Below are 24,009 nucleotides of genomic sequence, written 5' to 3'. Positions count from 1 at the left end.
CCTATAGATGGGAAGCTAAAGAGAGGAGAATTGTGTGGGAGGTTTTTATAGGCTGGGACGGCAAGTGATGAACCTCGTTTGTGCCACATCCCGATGGCTCATCTCACTACGAGGGAGGCTGGGAACTGTAGTCTGGCTGTGGCTTCTGTTGAACGTGCAGCAATCACTGCCACACAATGTCCTTCCTGTACTTGGGTGGTAAACTGTCCATTCCTAAAGCACAGTGATAGTAGATGGTGAGGTTTTGTGTTGGCAGAATAAAAGGTTACTTTCCCCCACCGAAACCTCACCTCCCAGTGGGTCCATGAAAACCAAAAGGCTGAGAACATTCCATCCTAATACAGCTGGCCTCAGATGCCTTCTTTGTGCTCATATAAGTGATGGCCCAGATCTGTTTATGCTCATTTCCAAGTTATAATCTCTTTTCTTCTGAACACAGTGAGGCATAAAGCTTCCCTCTCATTATTATATGGAAAACCTATAATCATATGTCATCCATGATTCCTAACATCAGGGTTATAATTATTCTCTAGTGAACTCACATATTTGAGGCTCCAAATGAGCGCTGAAAGTGGGGCAGTATTATCCAAGTTCCTTGACCTCCCTAGAAGAAATTTTCTATTTACAAAAGAAAAATTTTACAGAGTTCAGAATAATTTCTTAGCTGATTTTGATACTGTACTCATTTTTGGCTTTTGTTAAACTTGCTTTCCAGATAGTTGTTTAAGTTCACATATTTGTACATGGCTCTTTTATTAATCTTTGCGGACTATGAAATCGTTTGCAAAAATCTTCACTTACCCATAAATTACTGTCTAATCCATACAAAGTACAGGTCGCTGAAAAGGTACAGGTTACCTGAACTTTAGAAAGCAATGCCGATTATGAGACCCTCTAAATATCTTAGGATATCTCTTGCCTGCAAAATAAAAACAAGCTTAGAATTAAGTGCTAATTCTACAAAAATAATAATAATAACTGAACCAGAAGTTTTCAGGGTGAATAGGCAGAACCCTCATAATTAGTGTAGGAAGAATTTTTAGAACCCAAACCAGGACTGTGGGAGGTAAAGAGGCATTTAATAGTCTTTCTCTCTCTTTATATTCATAACAAAGCCATTTAAAAGGAAAAACATTATGCCAGCAGGGTTTTTTTAAAAAGATAATTACTGTTTTCCTTTGTCTGTAACTCTTGCAAATCCAGAATGAGCTGGATTGTGTCTGGCTACGGCAAGAATATCTTTAAGTTCCAACTGCCTTGTGTACACCAAAACCAATGCTTTAGAAACCTCCAGAAACCTACTCCTATTCCTTTTTTTTTTTTTCTCTCTCTCTCTCTATCTTATTCAAAGACACCAACAACCAACCAGTCCCTGGAGCTAGAAAATGTAGAATCATTCTTGGCAGCCTCCTGTGTGTTGATTCTTTACACATTATCTATCTTTGCAAGCATAATATTATATTGTATGTATTTATTATACTTTTATTTCTTTCCAGCTACTTAAACACAGGAGCCATTCCTTAATTATTTTTGTATTTCTAGTGCTTAGCACAGCACGGGCACATTGTAAGCACTAAATAACAGGATTTGAACTTCTTCCTTTATCCTACCTCTTTATTTTGAGTCACCAAGCACTGCCAATTTTTTATCTAAAATGTCTCTTGAACCCATCCTCTCCCTCAACATTCCGACCTCACTTGGACTATCTGGAATATTCAATCAACTGTTCAGCCTCCAGACTCAACCCTCCTGCATATTAATCCTCCATAAAGGTGCCAAGTTATCTTTCTAAACAGTTACCCTTTCGTCTAAAACCTTCCATAGCTCCCTAGTGTCTGGAATAGGGTCCAAATTTCTTAGTATGATTCTCAGCACAGCCTAACTGCCCAAGTTTTTCTCCAACTGCCCAAGTTTATCTTTAAACCTGTCCCTGTGTGTTCTAAGCTCTAACCCTCTCAAACAACTTTATTTAATCAAGAAATAACTTAACTCAGTAGGTCCCTGTGATTTGTTCTTTCTCTTTCCATTTAGAAATTTTCTGCTTTTCTCAGACCATCCATCAAGATCTAGATTAAATGTCATTGCTTCTATGAACACAAATTCCCCAGACAACTTAGAAAACATTGCTTATATATTCTCCTCCTCCACCAAATTCTGTGCCCCTTAAGGTAGGAACCATGTCTAAATTATTTTTATACACCTGTTACCCAATTCAGTTTCTGACATATCAACATCCATAAATCTTTGTTGAGAATAATTGCCAACCAGTACCTAGGATGTTTAGTATTCTGAAATGCTAATTGGCACCTTCACTTCCATGAAGGTTAGGTTTCTGTTCCTCAGGACTAATCCCTGCATATGTTATTTTAGTCTAATTTGGAAACTCTCCAGCAGCTCTGATCAAAGTCATAGGCATGAAAACCTCCCTTTTTAAGGAACTAGAGAAAGCAAATTTACTTCTTTGGGGGAAAAAAAAACTGCTGGTGTTATAAATCAGAGAAAAATTCAATTAACATAGTCCTTCTTATTGGTGACAATGATAATCCTACCTTGACATAATTTCTAAACCACTCCCATATACATTATCTTACTTGTTAACACATCGACATAGCTGGATATAGTCATGTCTTAGAAGGAGTCGGTTGGAGTTAAGGATCTGACTGGCATCAGAATGGTGAGGGTTCCTGCCCTAGCTCCTCCATGTATGAAAATATGGCCTTGGAAACATTACTCAACCTCCTTAAGCCTCCTTAAACCCACGTTTTCACACTAGTAAAAATAGGAATAACAGGCTGGGTGCAGTGGCTCACACCTGTAATCCCAGCACTTTGGGAGGCCAAGGCAGGAGGATCACCTGAGGTTGAGAGTTTGAGACCAGCCTGACAAACATGGAGAAACCCCGTCTCTATTAAAAAAATACAAAAATTACCCGGGCGTGGTAATGCATGCCTGTAATCCCAGCTACTAGGGAGGCTGAGGCAGGAGAATCGCTTGAACCTAGGAGGCAGAGGTTGCGGTGAGCCGAGATCATGCCATTGCACTCCAGCCTGTGCAACAAGAGTGAAACTCAGTCTCGAAAAAAAAAAAAAAAAGGAATAACAATAGTAAGAATAATTATTGAAAGTTTCCTACATGCGAATACTATTCTAAGTAGTTTCCATGTAATTCATTTAATCCTAACAAAAAGTAAAGAAAGTACCATGAACTGCCTTTAACGAGGAGACAGAGGCACAACTAGCAAATGGTAGGGCCAGGATGGGGACCTGTACTCCTAACCACTATATAAACCACCTCAGAGATTTTTATAAGTATTAAATGAGATCAAGAACATGCAGTCTTCAGCACAAAGGCTGAAACAGAGTCAGTCTTTAATAAACACTGGTTGTTATTATTATCATTATTATTATATAGGAGAACAATGGCAATCACTCAGCTGAACTATAATAAAATCAAATCACCTACCTACACCAGGTACCAAAGTAGAATTGTCCACTTTTCTACAGCCTCAGAAAGCAAACAAAGAGAAAATCAAGTGGCAGCAAACTGAGAGTGTAGCTATGCAGGCACTTTACAAGTAGCAGATGCTTCAGATAATGGGCAGCAGTGTTGTGGCAGAAGGCAGGAATTTTTTGGAAGGTGCACATCACTTGCATGTAGTTGTCCAACTCCCCATGTGAGGGTGGCTCATTTTTCACATTAATAATTGACCCAATCCTATGGAAAAGTGAAAAGGGCCCTAGATTGGGATTTTCTATAGACATAAATCACATGATAATCCTGTCTGTGTCCACATGGGAGCCAGCATGGTACAGGACAAAACCACCCAAACCCAGCCTACTCCACTCTATACCCCAAGGACCCTTAGAAGGGACTCCCTCTTCAGATTCCACTACCTTCCACGTTTTATCATTTGGCCTATTTCCTTCCCTCCAAACCACATGGATTTACCTTTCTTATGATTTTACTAAAAACAAATAACAGCAACTATTATGGAAAATAAGAGATTGATTACTAACTTAATGAATATGTGTTACTATAGATATATTATATGTCAAGCAAAGATCTCTGCTGAGGGAAGCCATCCAACAGAACTTTCTGTGATGGTATTCTACATCTTTACTGTCCAATATGGTAGCCACTAGCCATGTGCATATTGCGCTTTTGAAATATACTTACTCAAACTGAGAAACTACGTTTTTAATTTTATTTAACTTTAACAAATTTAAATAGCCATATATAGCTACTGACTACCTTATTGGACAGCACAACTCTATAGACTATCATCTCCTTCTTTTATTAATAATTGGCACAAAATGGTCACTCAGAGTTTAAGACTTGACCTCCCAAAACAACCAAGAAAGTAAACTCGGCCGGGCACGGTGGCTCATGCCTGTAATCCCAGGACTTTGGGAGCCCGAGGCGGGTGGATCTCAAGGTCAGGAGTCCAAGACCAGCCTGGCCAATATGGTGAAACCCCGTCTCTACTAAAAATACAAAAAATTAGCCAGGTGTGGTGGTGCGCACTTGTAGTCCCAGCTACTCAGAAGGCTGGCAAGAGAACCGCTTGAACCCAGGAGGCGGAGGTTGCAGTGAGCTGGGATCATGCCACTGCACTCCAGCCTGGCGACAGAGCGAGACGCAGTCTCAAAAAAAAAAAAAAAAAAAAAAGAAAGTAAACTCAAAGGATGCTGGCCCTCTGAAGGCAAGATGATCTATAGAACTTTAGTCCCAAACCAGATGTTTCTAAAATTTGCTTCTGAAAGGACTGGAAGGCTAACCCTCAAATTGGTCCTAGGCCACTTAATCACTATTCAGTTCAAGTACCTGAAACAATTACTTCTATCAGTTCTAAGTAAAGATGGGCTGCTGACATTTAAGCAGCAGGAAAAAAAAAATTGGAATTAACTGCTGCAATCACAGCAAGTACTGAAAGAATAAATTAAAAATCAAGTATCACCCAAAGAAAAGCAAAATAATTTGTCTCTTTTTTTCTCTTACAGAAACATCTCATTTAATCATGCTTTGGGCTGGGAACTGGAGTGATTTGCTTTCCTATAAAAATGGATTTATTAAGATACGAGGGAAGGTGGCAAACTTTGCAAGGTGTGTAAAGGGCAAATGCCAAGCCTTTGTGAGGATGTAAGTGTGGGCAAAGAATGTGGGGCTTGGATCTTGAGAGCAATAGAAAGCTATTGAACCGTGTTGAGGCAGGAAAAAGACATGACCAGTTTGGGGTTTCATAAAGGTGCCCATGACTGCCATGTGAAAAAACTTTTGGAGGGAGGCCAGAGGACTGATGGCAGGAAAGCCAGAGAGGAGTGGGAAGATTCAACAGGTACTTAGGGCAAAATTGACTGGGATTCATGTTTGGATAAAGGGTGAGGGGATAGCAGATAAAGAGCAAGAGCTTCCTGGTTTTTATAGCTGAATGGAGGAAGTCCTATTCCTTGAGATAAAAACACCAGAAAGAACCAGATCTCGTGGGGAAGGAAGGGAAGAATGAGTTTCATTTTGGACACTTAATGCTTGAATTATATGACAAAAACAGCAAGGATAGGAAATAGACAGTTGGACATGTGGATCTAGAGTTCGAAGAAGTGGCTTAATCTATACTACTAATTCCATTTTTTTATCGAAGAATAAAAATGGTAGATTGATGGGATGTGTCACTTTTGCACCCATTAAAGATGATGCCCAGAAGTAACATAAATAGAGCAAAGAGGACTTCTCCAGAATCTAGACTGTATAGGTCACAGCTTTCTCCTCACAGAACTTTGGACTGCCCATCCCCTCCAGAAAAGACTGCAGTCAGCATGTATTTTGGGAACACTACGGTCTGTGGTCTTGGTCTTGTTCACACTACTAAAAGACATCTGCTTTGGCCATACTTGCCAACCCTTTATTCTGCTTTTTAGGCCGGAATAGTCTTAAAATTTCAGCACTTCCTGACTTTTGAGGCCATCTGCTAGCCACATCCTCAATCCACAGCCACATGAACCCTGAGCCCAGAAGGTATAATTAGCCTAGGGCCTGGGATCACACAGCCCAGTGTCCACAGGGGCCATGCTTAAACTGAGCTACTACCTAGCTCCATCCTGCCATTGTCATGCAGAAATACCCAGTATTGCTGGAGTTTATAAAAGAAACTGAAAATGTGGAAGGGTAGGGGTAGGGGGCAAAAAAAAAAAAAATGAAATATCTCTACTCTTAAATGTTTAGTTCAAATCTTTTTAAAAGACCAGCTGGGCCAAACAAAACTATATATTGGGTACAATGTACACTGCTCAGGTGACAGATGCACCAAAATTTCAAATCATCACTAAATAACTGATCCATGTAACCAAAAACCGCCTGTTCCCCAAAAACTATTGAAATAATTTTTTTTTTTTTTAGACGGAGTCTCGCTGTCTCCCAGGCTGAAATGCAGTGGCATGATCTCGGCTCACTGCAAGCTCCACCTCCCAGGTTCACGCCATTCTCCTGCCTCAGCCTCCCAAGTAGCTGGGACTACAGGTGCCCGCCACCATGCCCAGCTAATTTTTTGTATTTTTAGTAGAGACAGGGTTTCACCATGTTAGTCAGGATGGTCTCAATCTCCTGACCTTGTGATCCGCCTGCCTCAGCCTCCCAAAGCACTGGGGATTACAGGCGTGAGCCACCGCGCCCGGCCAAAAATTTTTAAAAACCTCTCACAGAGCCCGCTTGGACCCAGGGCCATCAGTGATTGACTTTTGGTCCCACCAATGCACGTGCACAACATTCACATTCATATTAATTCATTAATTCTCCTTAACTGATGCTCCTTCCTCAGAATGCATCCCAACACAATTCTCCAGGGAGATAATAATCCACATATTCAGAGCTGCACATGAGTTGAAACTTATTTGCCATGTCTATTCTCCTTTGCAGGAACATGTGAACACCACATGTTCCAAATAAAATCCTCCTTTCCTCCTTTCAAAAAAACCAAAACTGCCTTGGGGCACACACACAAATGACAGAATCCTTTCGGTGGCTGCTTCTATTGGCACATATTGTGTTACCAGTCTATAAGCTATTCCTATTTCCTTTGCACCTTGTCTCTGCTCAGCGACCTCTTAAGTGCCACCGTAGTTCAGTTAAATCAACATCTTTTTCTATTCACTCTTGACCTTCACTTCTCTCAACTTTTTTTGAAATGTCAACAGCATTTTCCTATACCTTGTCCTGATTAAAAGTGAGAGAAACCTGGATGCTTTTCTCTGCCTAATTCTCTAATGTGAGGATAACTGATGGAAGTGACTTTTTGTACACTGATCTCAGAACTCAAGGGTGGTAGGGAGGAATCTGCAAGTTCCTGTACTTCTTTCTGCAAAGTGACTCACTTTGTTTTCACCTGAGTTTAAATGAATTGAAGAAAGGGTTCCCATTCATTCCAATTAGTGAAAAAGCAATCATTTTCCCATGTAAAATTAAAGCTTTAGCAGGCACCTTTCCTTGCGAAGGCATGAAGCTGAACACTTTTAATTTAAGCCAAACAAGAGCATTAAGAAGATGTATTCCTTTAGAGCTATACTCCATCAGGGGCCTTGAATGCCAGTTATTGGCTTTTTAGCCAAAGTAAAAAATCTTTCTGCTATTGTTTTTATGGATCACTATTAAGAAAAGAATAGCAGTTAGTTGATTATCAAGTTTCCTTTGGTGCGGGCAGAGGGAGGAGGAATTATAGTCTCATGTCGTACATAGCAGTTGCATTCGTTTGCTTGGGCTGACCTAACAAAGTCCCACAGACTGGATAGCTTGAATAACAGAAGCTTATTTTCTCACAATGCTGGAGGCTAGAAGTCTGAGATTAAGGTGTGGGCTGGGTTGATTTCTTCCGAGGCCTCTGTCCTTGGCTTGTAGATGAGTATGTTCACAAGGTCTTCCTCCATGCATGCCTGTGTCCTAATCTCTTCTTATAAATTCAACAGTCATTGTAGATTAAGGCCCACCCTAATAACCTCACTTTAGTTACCCCTTTAAAGACCCTGGCCTTAGATACAGTAACATTCTGGGGCACTAGGAGTTAGGACTTCAACATATAATTATAAGAGGACACAATTCAACCCATCACAGGTGCCTTGAGCATAACTTACACTGGAGCACCATGTAAGTTTTAGTGAGAAGTGATGGAAACTAATTCATGCCAGTAAGAACGAAAAATGAGTAATAATAATAATGAATACAAGAAAGAAAGAAAATGCTCTAAGGCAGAAATGCAACCCTGCTTCAGAAAGGGACAGGAACTAAAAAAAACTCCTAAGCTACATTTCCTCTCACTGCTTCCTCTGCAAATAGGCTTATTCTCCCTCCACAGGTATGCTTTCTTTTTTTCCTCATTCCATAAGATAGAAAATGGTCCCCACTCTTTCGAGCTTGCATAGAACAGGCCCTGCCATTTATCCAGACAGACTGGAAAGACTTCAGTCCTGATTTCCAGGCAACAGAATCGGATTGCCCCAGCCTGGGTTAGGTGTTCACCCTGATCCAATCAGTTACAACTAGGTGGCACTGTGGCCACCTATTTTAAACATGGCTGCTTTGGGCTCATCTTTGTGAATTGGGATGATTCACTTGGAAAAGGAGATACAGATCTATGATCACTGGCCTGTAAGTAGGCTAGATGCTCTAAACTTGTCACTATGTGGGTAAAAATATTTTTTTTCTGCATGTCCCATTCTTTCTTGTTAGACTTCAGCACCTATTTCTTCTGCTAACTAGCTTAGCTAGATATTTCTCTTCTTGAAGCATAGACAATAGGTAACTATAGCAACTGGTTGTACAGGTAATTGCTATAAAACATTGCCCAGGGGTTAGAAAGCCATGGAGACACTGAACCCTACATTCGACTGAGGCATTAGTTCACAGCTAAGGTGAGTTTCTTGTCTCCAGAACAATCAATGTTTTACCTTTAAAAATAAAGAAAAGTGTGTGCACCACAATTCTGCCTGAAAGCTCGGGCATTGAAGTGGGCCCAGGAGGTGCAATTTCAAACAAGACTCACCTTTTCATCTTCCAGGTCCGTGACTTGGTTAGGTCTCAGTTGCCTCTAATCTTCTCCTTTGTCATCGTGGCTTCAGCTGTCCAGCATTTCCAGGGACAGGCTAATGAGGAAAGACACAGGTCAGTAACATCACCTTTAGATCTAATAAGACAGTATTCCCTCAAATGCAGTTAGCTCATCCTCAAAGGTCCAGCCAGCATCATAGGCATCCTGGAATCCTTCAGTTCCTGTTGATTTCCTCCTTGTCTATTCACTGTCACCTGGAATTCACAGACACAAGGAAAATATCCTTTCCTCTCATCCCCTATTTTAAACCAAACATAGCATTGGAGTGACTTACTTTAGAATGGCTAAGATAAAGAAACAGACATCATCCAGGGACTTATGGGCTCATGTCTTCCCTTGACAAAAGAGTTTGGGAGACAGCTCAGTGATTAAGCACATGGATCCAGGAGCGAGGCTACCTAGGCTGAAAGTCCAGCTCTGTCACTTTCTAGCTCTACCTTCAGCATGTGATTAACCTCTCTGTGCTTCTTCAGTTTTCTCAGAGTGGCTAAAATGATTAAATGAGATAATATACGTAAAATGCTTAGAACTATGTAATTTATTGTTATTTGGGTATTTTTTTAACTTCATTTTATTTTTGAGACAGAGTCTCACCCTGTTGCCCAAGCTGGAGTGCAGCAGCATGATCCCAGCTCACTGCAACCTCTGCCTCCCAGGTTCAAGCAATTCTCATGTCTCAGCCTCCTGAGTAACTGGCATTACAGGTGTGCACCACTACCCTCGGCCAATTTTGGTATTTTTAGTAGAGACAGGGTTTCGCCATGTTGGCCAGGCCAATCTCAAACCCCTGACCTCAAGTGATCTGCCCGCCTCAGCCTCCCAAAGTGCTGGGATTACAGGCATTGAGCCACTGCGCCCAATTTATTGTTATTTTTATTGCTACAGCTATAATATAAAATCTTACCTGAAGAACCACTAAGGGTTGGACTATGGCAAAATGTAGGGAAGTTCCTCTCCTCTTACTATTCAGGGCCATCCTGCCTCCTTTTATTGCATTCTCCTACCATTCAAGCATTTGGGAGCCTCATGCAAATTTCCCCTACCAGCAGCACACACCCAGATCTCACTCCTATGGTAACAGCACTCTCTAGATCTTGTCTTTTACCCTTCCCTTACCTTCATTCCCCATTCTGTTTTCTCATCACAAGGTCAATGTCCAGTCCTTATCACCAATGCACACTGTCATCACCAGTAGGAGTAAAAAAGAAGACAGAACTCCTCAGGATCCCTAAATGACCAAAGGCAAAACCAAGGTTAAATAATGAGATTGATCCCTGAGGCAATGCTAGAACTTATCGAGAGCTCCAGAACTCAGAAGGCACAGTTCCTTTCCACAGTGCCACAGGGCCAGCCTTGTAGCTCAAAGTTGCTTGTAGCTGCTTTTTCAACTGAGCATCTGCCTCCTCATTGGTCTTCCAGCTCTTGATTGGCCTCACTTTAATCCACCTTTGACACTTCCATAATCTTTCTAAAACTCAAAATCTAATCATGTCACTCTTCTACACCAGACCCTTAATGCAATGTCCTAAATGCATACTGCCATCCCTGTCCTTCACACATACCTGGGTGAAAACCCATCATACTCATTTGCACTTATTTATTTACTTATCATTGCCATCCCCCCCCCCAATAGATTATGAGCTTCTGGAGATGAAGGATTCTGTCTATTCATCTTTGTATTCCCACTATCCAGGAGAATAGAAATTATAGTTCAATGGTAAGTGGCATGGTTCCAAATCAAATTATCAAAATATCATAGGAGTTCAGAGGTGAGAAAACAATCTAGAACACTTAATACAAGTCCTTTATTTACATGCATTTCTCTCTGAGAAAAATACCCTCAATATCTTCTGTTCACTGTCTTACAAGTTTTTTCTACTTTTTGTGCCATAACTCCCACCCATCCCTGTCTACAGCCATCTATACAATTGGTCATGCCAATTATACTAAGTATCTCCTAAAGCTGTCCTTTACCTTCTAGACTCACTACAATTATCTCAGTTTGGGTCCCCTTACTCTCACCTGGACATTGACATCAGCCTCCCTTTTTGGTCACATGACAAATTCTTTCTCCAATCCACTCACCCAACTCTTTCTAAAATAAAAATTTTTTTTTTCCAAGACAGAGTCTTGCTCTGTCACCCAGGCTGGAGCACAGTGGCGTGATGTTGGCTCACTGCAACCTCCACCTCCCAGGCTTAAGTGATTATCTTGCCTTAGCCTCCGGAGTAGCTGGGATTACAGGCGCCCGCTACCACGCCCAGCTAATTTTTGTATTTTTAGTAGAGACGGGGTTTCACCATGTTGGCCAGGCTGGTCTCCAATTCCTGACCCTGTGATCTACCCGCCTCAGCCTCTCAAAGTGCTGGGATTACAGGCGTGAGCCACCACGGCCGGCTCTAAAAATTTAATTAGATCACAAACCACACTCTCTTCCAGAAAAAATATTCGAAGGATCCCTATTGCCCAACAGGTATATTTTTTAAATTCTCACATGTCCCAGGAGCCCCCTTTGGCCTCTACCTCCTTTACAGTCTCATCTCCTACCACTCCACTTACCCATCAGCCTGCACTCTAGCCACGGAAAACCACAGGCCATTGGTATACTGGTCCAGGGTTTCTGTGCAGTGAGTCATTTCTTGTAAGTGAAACATCTCCATCATCCACCCCTTAACCAGTTAACCTGGTTAACTTCTACCCATTTTTCAAGACCCAACTCAAAAGACAATTCCTTCAGAAACCTTCTATGATTCCCTTCTGAAATGATCAATTACACCTTCTCTATTCACTTAACACAATATACATGACAAAGTACTCTAAATATTTGCCAGTCTATTTCTCACTTTACTGTAATATCCTTGAGGTCAGGGAACATTTCTTATGAATCTTAGCATTTCTTCAGCATGAAACCCGGTATCCAGAATAGAGTATGAGCTATAATAAATATCTGATGAGTGAGGGAGGGAGGGAGGGAGGGAGAAGGTGCTATTCTTTATATACAAAGGTGATACCACTACTATCCCATCAATAGATTATACCTTTGTATATGTTTTCCAACATTGGGAGGGTTTACATGGATACATTGCCATTCCATCATCCTTTTTACCCTGGGATCAATGATTCCAGCATGGCTGAAGGCATTAAACAGACTCTGTGCAGGGACAAAACCAACTGGCTGTACCCAAATGGAAATCCTGACCTTGACCTCCTCATCAGTATCACTCACTCCCCAGCTGATCCTTGGCCTTACCATAAGGTCAGCGTGCAGCATAGCTTGGCGTAGCTTGGGACTGAGAAATGTAAGAGCAATCTTCTTCAACCTTCAGCGAGACTGAGAGCACATGTGCAACATGTCAATGGATGAAGTTTTCCTTCCTGCCTTCCTCTAATACAGCAAAGCAAACATGGTGATGGAATAAAGTTGAAACTAACAACTTGAGTGGTTGATTAAGCTCCTCAGCATCACTCCTCTGCTAATCAACTACAAAAGCCTTCAATATACACACCAAAGTCAGAGAGATTTTGTCACTTAATTACTATAAAATAACCCCACAGGTTAATGCATGCTTTAATCTCGAAGTAGTGGCAGTAACCATTTTGTTATTTATATCAATTGCATAGTTAGAATCAAATGCAGAGATTTCAGGCCCCTTAATGTGAGATAACATCTGATTTAATAGGACAGAAATAGCATATCCTTCCATCCACCCCCAATACCTCTCCCTCAAAATTTGACCTACCATTTTACCATGGTCTGAAATTCTAGAACCAGAAATGTACTCCTTTGATCTTTTTTTCTGTTAAAATGCAAATAACATATAGGATGGATCATATATTAAACCATGGTTAACGCGTATGCCTTACATTTGGCAAATTTAGCCATTTTTCCAGGGCCCTGATGTTTACAGGGAATTGAAAGACTACTGGAGGCAATAACCTGAGTGGTTGAGGCACGTGCACTGTCAAGGGTAGAAATAAAAGGGGCAAAAGAGGAATGAGGGTCTGAGAAAGGAAACCTCACCTGTTTTATATCTGTACTTCCTGCTTGACTTTGATAAAATTGCGGAAAATTGCATGGATCTAAGAGGTCAAGGAGTCTTTATCTAGCATCCTATTTTGCAGGATTGAGTTACTGAAATTTTCTTCCTCTGCATCACTAGCATCCCAAGAATGAAGCAGCATGAATTCCAACTCAGCGTTTCACTTTATACAGTGTGCATATTTCTGACAAGTTAGGGGTAAATAATTTTTATAAATCAAATCATAACATAGGTTTGCCAAGTGAGAATTGGTGAGGAGATCCTCTTGAATAGTAAAAATGTCTTGACTCTTTTGTATAAATGCATGCAATTATAAATCAGGCTTGCTTGCCAAGAGGCACACCTACATTGTATGTTCTCTGTTTCTTTCTCTCTCTCTCTCTCTTTCTCTGAACGTTTAGAACTCTATAACACTACTGATTTAATTTAGAAAATGCCTGCTCAGGTGAGCAAGATTCTGCAGGAACATCCTGATGATATCATTAAGCCTACATGAGATACACAGGGTAAACATTATCATCCCCAAACTGGTAAGAGATTTGTTTGTCTGATAAGTTAGTAGAGGAACAAGAAATCAATCTCCTTTCATGGAAAATAGAAGAGACCCCAGGAACTAGAAAAGAGAGTTGGCTTTTAGAGTGAGAACAACTGATAAAAATATATTTGAACAAAAGCCTCAGTTTCACCAATATTGTTAAAAGAAAGTTAAGAATAATGACGGTATGATCATTGTGTTATATGAAGTTAGCCACTCAAGTTGCTTTCAACATGGATTAACAATCTAATGGGTGTTGTGACTAGAAAACTATGTCTTGTATCTCATCAACTTAACTTGGCTTGCACAAAATAATGGTTAAGAATATTTTCTCTGAAAAAAAAAAAAAAAAAAACATGGCTTTTTTAGGTGGTGTCTGGGGACCAAGTGAATCATATCCCCAAAGAACTTGGAAACAAGGAGCCCCACTGACAGATAAGTCAACACTGAACAGGAGGAAACAGAAAGCCTACTGGATTCTTTACTGAAACATAATCAGTGATTTGGGGACCTCACCCTGACCCAAAAGGAACATTTTTCAAAACTATTTGCATCCTTTTGCTCTAAATCCTTAACAATCTACTGATTAATAATGTAGCTCAAGTCCTGCAAAAGGAGCCATCCAGGCACAGAGAGAAGTCATCCCTCACTGTAAATAATCACATTGGCATTCCAGTTTATTCATCAGTCTCATGTGGACTGCTTTAGTGAGTATCCATCACCTTAAACCTGATCAATTGTGAGTATGCTGATAAGGCCCAATATCTGTACCACATGAACAGTGGTACATTCACAAAACTGCTGCTGTGTGATACGTGTAAGCTGTTCTATGGCTTTATCCTTTCCTTGGACATTGATCTTTCCCCAAACTTTTCACCACTGTTTAAAATTTGATTTCCTTTAATGGTATTACTTAAAAAGCAGTATCTATAAGATACCAAATGAGCTACAGGATCTATTTTACCTGGTCAGTGAAAACTCAGTTGAAATTATTTAGCATCACTGGCAGAGATGCAAGCTTAGACTTGACTACGATCTTTAATAACACCTGAGGTTAAATATTTTTAGTGCAACAGACCCCTTTCAGAATCTGATGAAAGCTATAGATCCACTCGACATAAAACTGCACAATCAAAAGATTTGGCATTTTGAACGGTCCATGGATCCCATCTACAGACTGCTATATAAGAAGTCTGATCTTATGCAAATCCCTCATGTTGTAATAGGGAAACTGAGGCTCAGTAAAGCGAAATGACTAACCCAAGGTTGCACAACTCGGGTTTAATGCCTTCCCAAGAACAATGGGTTTAGGTGAAATATCAAATACCTTTCAATGGCAGAAAGAGAATTAGGCCTTTAACATCTCCAAACCAAGTTATATGACCAATCACTTTTTCACTATATAACAAATCATACTGACATCAAGTAGACACTTCCCATAATGTGAAAGCCAGCTGGTCAATTCTGCTTGGGTACCAGCTTCCCCTGGGACATGAAAAGGGATCCAGAAGGATCTCATCACACAGCTGACCCCCATTCTCTAAGCCAAACTGCATTTTGCCATTCAACTCTTGGCTCTTTATTTTTGTCTTTAAAAGTGGGAAAGCAAAATTGACCAACCCAATCTGGAAAAAATTCCAGGCGTTATCAGTGCTTCCTCCTGCAGCCTGGAATATATTAGGCAAACTTCAGGTTTGTCCAGTGATTTCAAACAATTATAAGAAGAAACTCACAATTGGCTAAAAATAGCCAATTTATGCAAACAGGCTAAGCTGGTTAAGGAAAACAGACAATCTAAAGGATCTAGGAAGGTTTTTTCGTAAAGCAATTTCTCTGTGAAACATTAACCAACATTTCTATGGTGTTCTGTATTTTATGAAGTGATTTCAGATGCATGCATATATCAATCTAGCAAAGAAAAGGAAAGAAGCAACAAATCCTTTGTGTGGTGCCCTTATATCAAATATTTCACTTCTAAAACAACTCAGAAGTACTATTCTTACCCATAAGGAATCAGACTCAGAGTGGCTAAGTAATTTGAACAAAGTCATATAGTAATTAGCAAAGCCAGGACTCAAATCCTGATATCTGAGTACAATCCTATTTTCTAGACAACAGATGGAGATTATGGGAAGTTAAGTCATTGGCCTCACATATCTAGCAACTAAGTTATAGGGCCTATATTTGAATTCACATCTCTAGATCCTAAAGCAAGCATTCATTCTATTGAGTCAGTATTTCTCAACATTCTCTGCAAAGCACCTAAATGAAAATCACCCAGTTACCTGTCCTTTAGAGAAAACAGGTCCAGCATCAGGGTTCTAAAAGCATGACTTCTAGACCAGCTGCATCCCCATTACCTGTGAACTTGTCAGAAACACAAATCCCCGGGCCCTACCCTAGACCTATAGAATCAGAAACTCTAGAGGTGAAGTCCAGTAATCTGTAGTTTGATATGTCATCCAAGTGATCCTGATGCCTGCTAAAATTTGAGAACCACTGATCTAGCAGCATCCTTTCCCTTAATCTCCTCCATGAAAGCAACTCATTCACACCTGAACCTTTTCTAGGGCAAACAATTATAACACTTGTAACCTCACCTTAATAACCATCGAAAGGTACTCAGTATTTGATCTATGCCCGTAATACTCGGGAAGGCACCAAATCCCTTGGTGTTTGATCACACCACCAAAATTTCATTTTAGTCTCTTTCTCAAACACAATTAAAAAACAGAGGACTCAAGGGTCTGCTGAAAGAATTAAACCTGAACATGTCCTCAGAAATTGACTTCTAAAGAAACGAAAAAGATTCCAACAATATCATTTGCATAAGAGCATTTCACGACTCTGAACAGAGTTTTTTCATGCAGAAACTTACATTAGAAAATGGAGTTTCCTCCAAGAGAATCCACCAGGGTGTGTTGTAAGGCTTTGTTTTAGAGCTGAGCTTGGCAACATGACGTTGGTGTGTGGGCTTTTCTCAGTTTCCTTATTTCTTGGTGGGTGGTTTGTTTTATGACACTAAATGTTCTTCTCAAGCAGGTGTTGGCTAGATGGAATAAAACTAATTAGTCTGATGTTGGGGAAAACCGGGTCTAGAAGACTGAAATTCAGACTGTGTTTGTGTTATTTGCTTGAATTACATGAGTGTTCTAACAAGGGGTGAAAATGTATTACTTTTCCTGGAGTATGCTACATTTTATCAAGGAAAACACAATCAGTAGTACCAAATACAAGTATAATGTTAGCTGGTTAAACCAACAAGATCCTGCATCTCCCAATTTATTGCTTAGCGATTGAATTCACCTGGAGTCAGGACAGCCATGGGTAAAGGTCTTGCAAGGAATGATGCAACATTGCCATCTTGTGGTTTCCAGCTGAAAATGGCTGAGGCAGAAATAATATCCACCCCCATTAAAACAGGCTTCTCTAAGTGTTTGACCTTTGCATTTTCAGCTGAGAATTCAGCTGGTAGGGAAGAGACAAGGCCTATTTCCAGATGGACACAAGACACAGTAGTAACTGGGTAATCGGGTTTACCCTCCTGAGCTCCCATTGTCCCCTCTTGTTCGATTCATTGAGTTCTCTCCCCACTCTGCTCGTCTTGTTATTAATAGTAGCTGCTGTATGACTCCAGCTGAATCAGCCTCTGCCATTCCTGAATCTCAGCTGACAGCCATTTAAGTGTGGCTCAGCAATCTAAATCACAGGTTCTATTCCCTTTCTGATTCTCCAAGTTTCAGAGCCCACGCCCAACCATTAGGAACCAAATCTTATCCTGGAAAAGAACAGAAACTCAGAAACTCTAACAGTGATCACTCCAGCAGTTCACCTGCCTGATCTTCAACATTTTTTACTTGTTTATTAATCATGTAGGAGTTATGATTAGTGTAAATATCAAGGAGTCTGACAATCCATCGATACCTTTAGGGAAAGAATTTTCGAAATGAATCAAAGACATATCAGTAAACTTATGTATCTGCAAAAAACAATCTCCCCCAAATTTGCATTAGTTTACTTTCTAGATTCCAATAGCATATGCTCACTTATAATCAGTCAGTGAAAAACTTGACCACGTACAATGTACCAAGCATTGGGCCATGTGTTTTGGATAAGTAATAAAACAGACCTGGCCCCAGCAAACATGTTGCTGGCCATCTAAGAGGGAGGACATATTTCATTTTTAAAAATCTATCATGGATATCAGTTTTTACCAAGGAGGAGAAGTACAAAGTACAATTGTGGAATCCCTTTGTGAGATCTTCTCACCTTTCCCATGAGGCAGCAGGGTGGTATTACACAAAGAGCATGGGTCTCAGATCTAGGTTTGTATTCCAACCCTCACACTCATCAGCTGGTAATGTGGACAGGTCAGTTTAACTCTTGGAGCCTCAGTTTTCTTATAACCAGAATCAATACATATTTCTCTACTTTATGAGAATAGCAAGAGGATTAAATGTGGTATTGCATGAAAAGATGTTCAAGTTCCTGGCACAGAATAAATGGTAGCAACTTTCCCTCTCATTTCAACCAGGATGCTTCTGATAAGTCACTTAGTAACTTCTTCACAACTTCACCTTAGAGCTGGTGTGTGGTACTTAAAGACTGAAGAGTGAATTTATTATCCCCCCCCCAAAAAATCTGATTACTCTATTTTTTAAGGGTTATCCCCATTTATTAATGACCCTACTGCATGACAGGGCCTGGCCAGGTCCTCTATATCTATGCTATTTCTAATTCTCGAAACTTTAAATACTACATTTCAAAGCTAAACACACATACAATTAATATCTGGAAAGTCTCATTATCTGCAGTGGGAGATGAAGTCTCCTTCTTTCTCCTAGTATGAATGACAGCTTTGGTGTTTCCTAATTAAGAAGTTAAATTCAAAATGTCTTTTATCCTCATCCCTAGAGGCAAGCTGGCACTTAATGTAAAATGAAACATTTGGGATGACCATTTGAAGGCACAGTAGGAGATTTAAAAGAATATGTATATCTGTTTGCTTGAATCTGCTTGCTAGCAGCTCTGGTCAAACTCATGCTAATTCTCTCATGCTCACTCTCAGCTCTTCTGAATCGGCCAGGAAAGATCTTTTTTTCCATATTTCCTCCACCTTGGGAGGCACTGCTTCCTGCTGATGCCTTTATAAACTGGAGTCTAACTTTGGAGTTTACAGAGAAGGCTAGGAAATGTTCATTTCTAAAAGAATTTTAAGAAACATGAAAAAACCCACACACTGTAGCAGGATCAATATTCACTTATACTGCACTCCGAAGTACAAAAATAAATAGCCTTTTTATTCTTCTGTAATTGATCTGGTCTTCTTCACAGGCTTTCACCCAGTTGATGGCAACAGAAATAGATATTTGTCTGACCTAGTAATTTAGACTTCCTGGGCATCATCACATCTCTGCTTGAATGACCTGGGTAAATGCTCAGGGTTTTAGAGACTGAGCTCCCTTCCCTTGCTCCTCCTACGATGCATCTTGGATATGGGAGAAAGGATGTGGCTCATGCAACCTTGAGGAGGCAGAAGGGAGGGAGCCGGCTGGAGTCCTAGAGAGGTAGGTTGGTATCTGCTGCAGAGGGCCTAGGCTGGGCTGGCCCCTGGAGACTACTGAGGCATGACCTTGTGCCCTGGGCATTCTGCTGGGGCCTCTCTGTAAAGTCTATGGCTGTTATACCTCAGGATGCCAGACTCAGCTCTTGCTTGCAGGGTGGACACACCCAAGGCCTGGCCAGGAAGCCCTGCCCTGCTGTCCTCAGCAATGTGGCTCCTTTGTCCATGAAAGCAACCCCTTCCTGCCATATTCCCCAGTCAGGGTCTACAGAATTCAGCAGCTAGCCCTAGGGCATGAGGAACATTCAGTCATTTGAAAGTTAAGAGAGATTCAGGAAAGCCAAACCCAGGTTCTCCTCAGCCTAACCAGGCTATGCTGACAAGCGTCCTTTAATGAAGCTGCCCACAGAATGCTACAGGGGCAACCTGTGAAACAAATCCACTCCTAGAATAACAAGCACGCTGGTGGTACACACACACACATGCATGCACTTCCCATCTTCTGGGTTCAGGCCCAGGAAAAAAAAAATCAAAACCTGTGTGTTCACCCCTTCCTCATTCCCTGCGCCCCCTCTTTTGACAATGCCATGTAAGAATAGGTAGACTTGAGTTTTTGCTTCTTCTGACAATTGTTCTCCTTTGGGGCATTAAATCCTGTGCCCTGCCTGCTGTCAGGCAAGGGGAGTAGCCTCTACACTTGGAAAATCTTAACGCTTTAATCACCTGCGGCCTACTTCTTGATCTGGTAAAAACAAACAAACAAAAAGCCAGGGGAAGGAGTAAAAGGAGTTTAAAGCATCTAAAATTTTGTTTTACTGCAGAACCAAAAAATACTACTTTAAATATCAAAATTGGAATACTAACTTTTTGTATCCCTCTTGTAACCATTCTAAGAGGTAGGAGGATGCTCCAGTAAACTACAGAGATTATGTGTAGGTAAGTGCAAAAGAAAAAGAAATCTCAAAAATACCATCCTATTGTACTCTATCACGGCTCGTCAGTTCAATTCTCCAGATCCTTACTGAGTATCCACTACATCTTCACCATTAGAGTACTACAGGCAGCACAGAGGATACGACATGGTTTGTGGCTTCGAGGAACCTCAATCTAACAGGAAGAAGGACTCTACTCTTGGATAATAAAGGGCAAGATCAGACTTGCACAAATGAGCGGCGAAGGCAATAAATGCTAGAGCTGGTAGTTCAAAAGGCACTCTGCAGACTTCTCATTCCTCTTCCTCCTCTGCTATTGTGAAGTTCTTTATTTTTATTTTTTAATCTCCCTGCTGCTTAAAGGGAAAGCACTGAAGCAAAGAGAAAGCAAGCCACCACTGCACGCCCATGGCTGCAGACAGCCCTTTTTCCAGGATCCAACAATTCCCTGAGGTATAAGCAGAGTGGATGAGGACACCTACAGGGTCTCAATTTTGCATATGCAATTTGTGCCCATAATTATTTTGATTGCTTCACGGGTCACATAAGGCTTTTCGAAGCAAACATCCACTAATTAAATATTATTATGCAAAATGTCTTGTTCTGTGCAGGCTTCTATATGTGAAGTACATGCTACCAAAAAATCTTATATCAAATCAAACATGTCTGCACTGGTTTCATTAAGACCCTTTAAGAGAGTGGTAGATGTAATTTAAGAAAGTCTATTTTGAGGCCGAAGTGGGCAGATCACGAGGTCAGGAGATCGAGACCATCCTGGCTAACACGGTGAAACCTCGTCTCTACTAAAAATACAAAAAAATTAGCTGGGCGCGGTGGCAGGTGCCTGTAGTCCCAGCTACTCGGGAGGCTGAGGCAGGAGAATGGCATGAACCCAGGAGGTGCAGCTTGCAGTGAACCCAGATAGCACCACTGCAGTCCGGACTGGGTGAAAGAGCGAGACTCCATCTCAAAAAAAAAAAAAAAGAAAAGAAAAGAAAGTCCATTTTGTATGTGTGCCACATTTTCTTTATCCAGTCTATCACTGATGGGCATTGGGTTGGTTCCAAGTCTTTGTAGCCATAAAAAAGAATGAGTTCATGTCCTTTGCAGGGGCATGGATGAAGCTGGAAGCCATCATTCTCAGCAAACTAAAACAGGAGCAGAAAACCAAACACCGCATGTTCTCACTCATAAGTGGGAGTTGAACAATGAGAACACATGGACACACGGAGGGGAACATCACACACCGGGGCCTGTCGGGGGGTGGGGGGCAAGGGGAGGGAGAGCATTAGGACAAATACCTAATGCATGCGATGCTTAAAACCTAGGTGGGTTGATGGGTGCAGCAAACCACCATGGCACATGTATACACATGTAACAAACCTGCATGTTCTACACATGTATCCCAGAACTTAAAGTAAAATAAAAAAATTAAAAAATAATTTAAAAAAAGAAAGAGTCCACTTACATAGAGACTTAGAGGATGCAGAACTAAATGTTTCCAATGTTATTCTGGATTGTGTGTTTTTCTTTGCTTTTAAAAAAAGATTAGCATCAACATTTAATAAGCCAAATAGAGCACGAAGTGTAACATCCAGAAGTCAAAATTTCCTATACTTAGTTTTCTGTAGGTATCTCATTTGAGAATCACTCAGATTTCTGCCAAAAGGAAAACACAAGAAGAGAGTCCAGGAGAACTGCTTGTGGACAGGGTCAGGCAGACAGATGGACAGACAGGAGGAAAGAGAGAAAGTCACCTGTCACTGACACGTTTTTCCGCCTCTGAAATCAGATCACAGATTCTCATTGTTTTCTTTAGTCTCCTGCTCCACGGCCTTCCTCAGTGAATGGATCTACATCTGCTCCATCAGACTGGCCTGAAAAGCCATGGCCTCCATGTGGGCCTTCCCTCTAGACCTGCACGATTAACTCACATGCTAAATCGTATTTCTCTCTTGTACAAACCTTCAGTACTTAATAGCATAGAGACAAAGATAATTCTCTTTCTCCTTGAAGGTTGGATCATTCGAGGCTATAAAACAAAATGATAGTAGATTAACAGGAGAAAAGGTATGCAAATTTATTATGTGTGCATGCACATGGAAGCCACATGAAATAGAAGACCCGAAGAAGGACTGACGACTGAAATTTTTATAACTGTACAAAAAACTAGAGGCTAGGGCTCCTGGGGGAAGGTGGTGACAGATTCTGGGGGGATAAGGGGAGGAAGCCATGGATAAGCACAACCTGTCTTATTATGCTGAATTATCTCAGGGAGCAGCCCTCAGAAAGAAGAGATGGGAGCTTGTGATTAAGTTCCTCTGCCAGACCTTCAAAAGTGACTGACCTTCAGTCTCCTTTGCCTGTGAGATCATCTTTCCTAGACCTAGAATAGGGGACCTCAGAGAAAACCTCTGCCAGCATCCCCTGTTTGCTTTACCAATGTGGATAGATGCAAATTTCCTCTATAAGATGATAGCTTTTCAGTGCTATTTCTGTGTCTGCAGTTTTTCTGAATAACCGGCTCAAAATATGCCAAAGAAGTGTATCTGGGGGCGGCATAGTCTGGTTTCCAACAGCATCTCCAGCCTGCCTTTCTGATTCTCGCTCTGTAATCCTCAACACACAGCCTCAGTGATTCTTCAAGCTCTCCACGGCCTTTAGTCACCTTCTGTTTCTCAAATTTCTTGAAAAGATCAGAGACGGATTTGTCCATGGAGTGCAAGTCTGTACCAAGTTGATATTTTTCTTTCAAAAGGCCCTCCAGGTATTGCCGGCCTCAGCTCTATCGAGCTCCTTCTGTTCCTGAGCCTCCCCAGTCATCTGGATTATGATCCCTTCAAACCCAACCGTGATTTTCCCCATCTCCAGACTTTTCACTGGGAGCCCCTCCTACTTGCTTTTCTATTCCAGGCTCTCCCTTTACGAGGCTTTAACCACAGCATCGGGTCCTCCTGGGTGTCCTGCAGACTTGTCCTTGTCGGGGCATCACAATGAGCAGAGATGAGCTCATGGCCCTCAACAGGTCAGGAATGGTCCCCCACAGGAACAATTAGGGCTAAGACATCAAATTCCACTGGCTTTGCTTTAGACAGACTTCCAGAGCAAGGCTGTGTGCATCACAAATGCTGTTAGTCTCATTAGCCATAGGACTCAGTTTCTTAGGGCTGTCTTCTAAGAAAGGGTCAAATTTAAGGGAGAAAAACTCTTTTCTCAGGACAGACTTCTTCAACAGAAAAGTTACAAAGTACTACAAATAATTTACCTCATTCCCTGTGCCTAGAATATCTGCTCAATCTCTGCAGCTCTCCTCTTTGAGGCCCGTGGCAGGCTCTGGGCCCTGCTGGGATCACGGAGATGCTGACACTATGCATGGAAGGGCAAATACAAATCAGACAAAAAAAAAAAAAAAAAAAAAAAAAAAAAGCCAATTCTTTTTGTTGCAAAGAAAAAGGAAAGAGACCTTCCCCCTTGCCCTCTTCTTTGGGCATTTACCTTAGAAAACTAGTAAGTGTAAGCTCTTACTCTGCTACTTTGAAATGTATATAAATATTTTTAAAAGCTAAAGAAGGCTCTTACCAATTTTACAACCCAGGAATGTTTCCACAAGAACCTGGGAACCATCTCTTTGAAATATAATCATTAAGGAAGTTAAGGCTCCTATCTCTCAGTTTCCTGGGCAGGGTAGGAACCTAACTTCAATTGATGCCTGGATCCAAATTGCAAGTCTCCCTCCTATCATAAAGAGGTGGGAATTTCGTTTTTCCCTTGGATAAAGGCTATTATCAAATGCGGATGATCACCCCGAAATTCCAGGTGATTTTAGAACGAACTGCCTATAACAAATG

At 41.1% G+C, this 24,009-nt stretch overlaps 2 long non-coding RNA genes and 1 pseudogene across 3 annotated transcripts in view; 1 reads left to right on the top strand and 2 right to left on the bottom strand.

Moving 5' to 3' along the window:
- The window catches only part of LOC107984326 (uncharacterized), a 162,012-nt gene extending 145,104 nt beyond the window's left edge, over window positions 1–16,908 (bottom strand). For both annotated transcript variants that reach the window (XR_001748187.1, XR_001748188.1), the window contains exons 1-3: window positions 16,545–16,908; window positions 10,208–10,319; window positions 9,026–9,125 (exon numbers count right to left, since the gene is read on the bottom strand). This is a non-coding gene — a long non-coding RNA (uncharacterized LOC107984326). The remainder of the gene's footprint in view (window positions 1–9,025; window positions 9,126–10,207; window positions 10,320–16,544) is intronic.
- On the top strand, window positions 8,843–10,784 carry LOC105376631 (uncharacterized). Its single transcript, XR_931199.3, has 3 exons — window positions 8,843–8,894; window positions 9,041–9,144; window positions 10,725–10,784. It is a non-coding gene; the product is annotated as an uncharacterized LOC105376631 (long non-coding RNA).
- On the bottom strand, window positions 22,743–23,516 carry LOC100422241 (transforming acidic coiled-coil containing protein 3 pseudogene; annotated as a pseudogene).

This window comes from Homo sapiens, chromosome 11 (genome assembly GCF_000001405.40).
Source record: "Homo sapiens chromosome 11, GRCh38.p14 Primary Assembly".
Taxonomy (NCBI): domain Eukaryota; kingdom Metazoa; phylum Chordata; class Mammalia; order Primates; family Hominidae; genus Homo; species Homo sapiens.
Note: the sequence above shows the minus strand (reverse complement) of the source record. Positions and strands in the feature narration are given on the sequence as shown.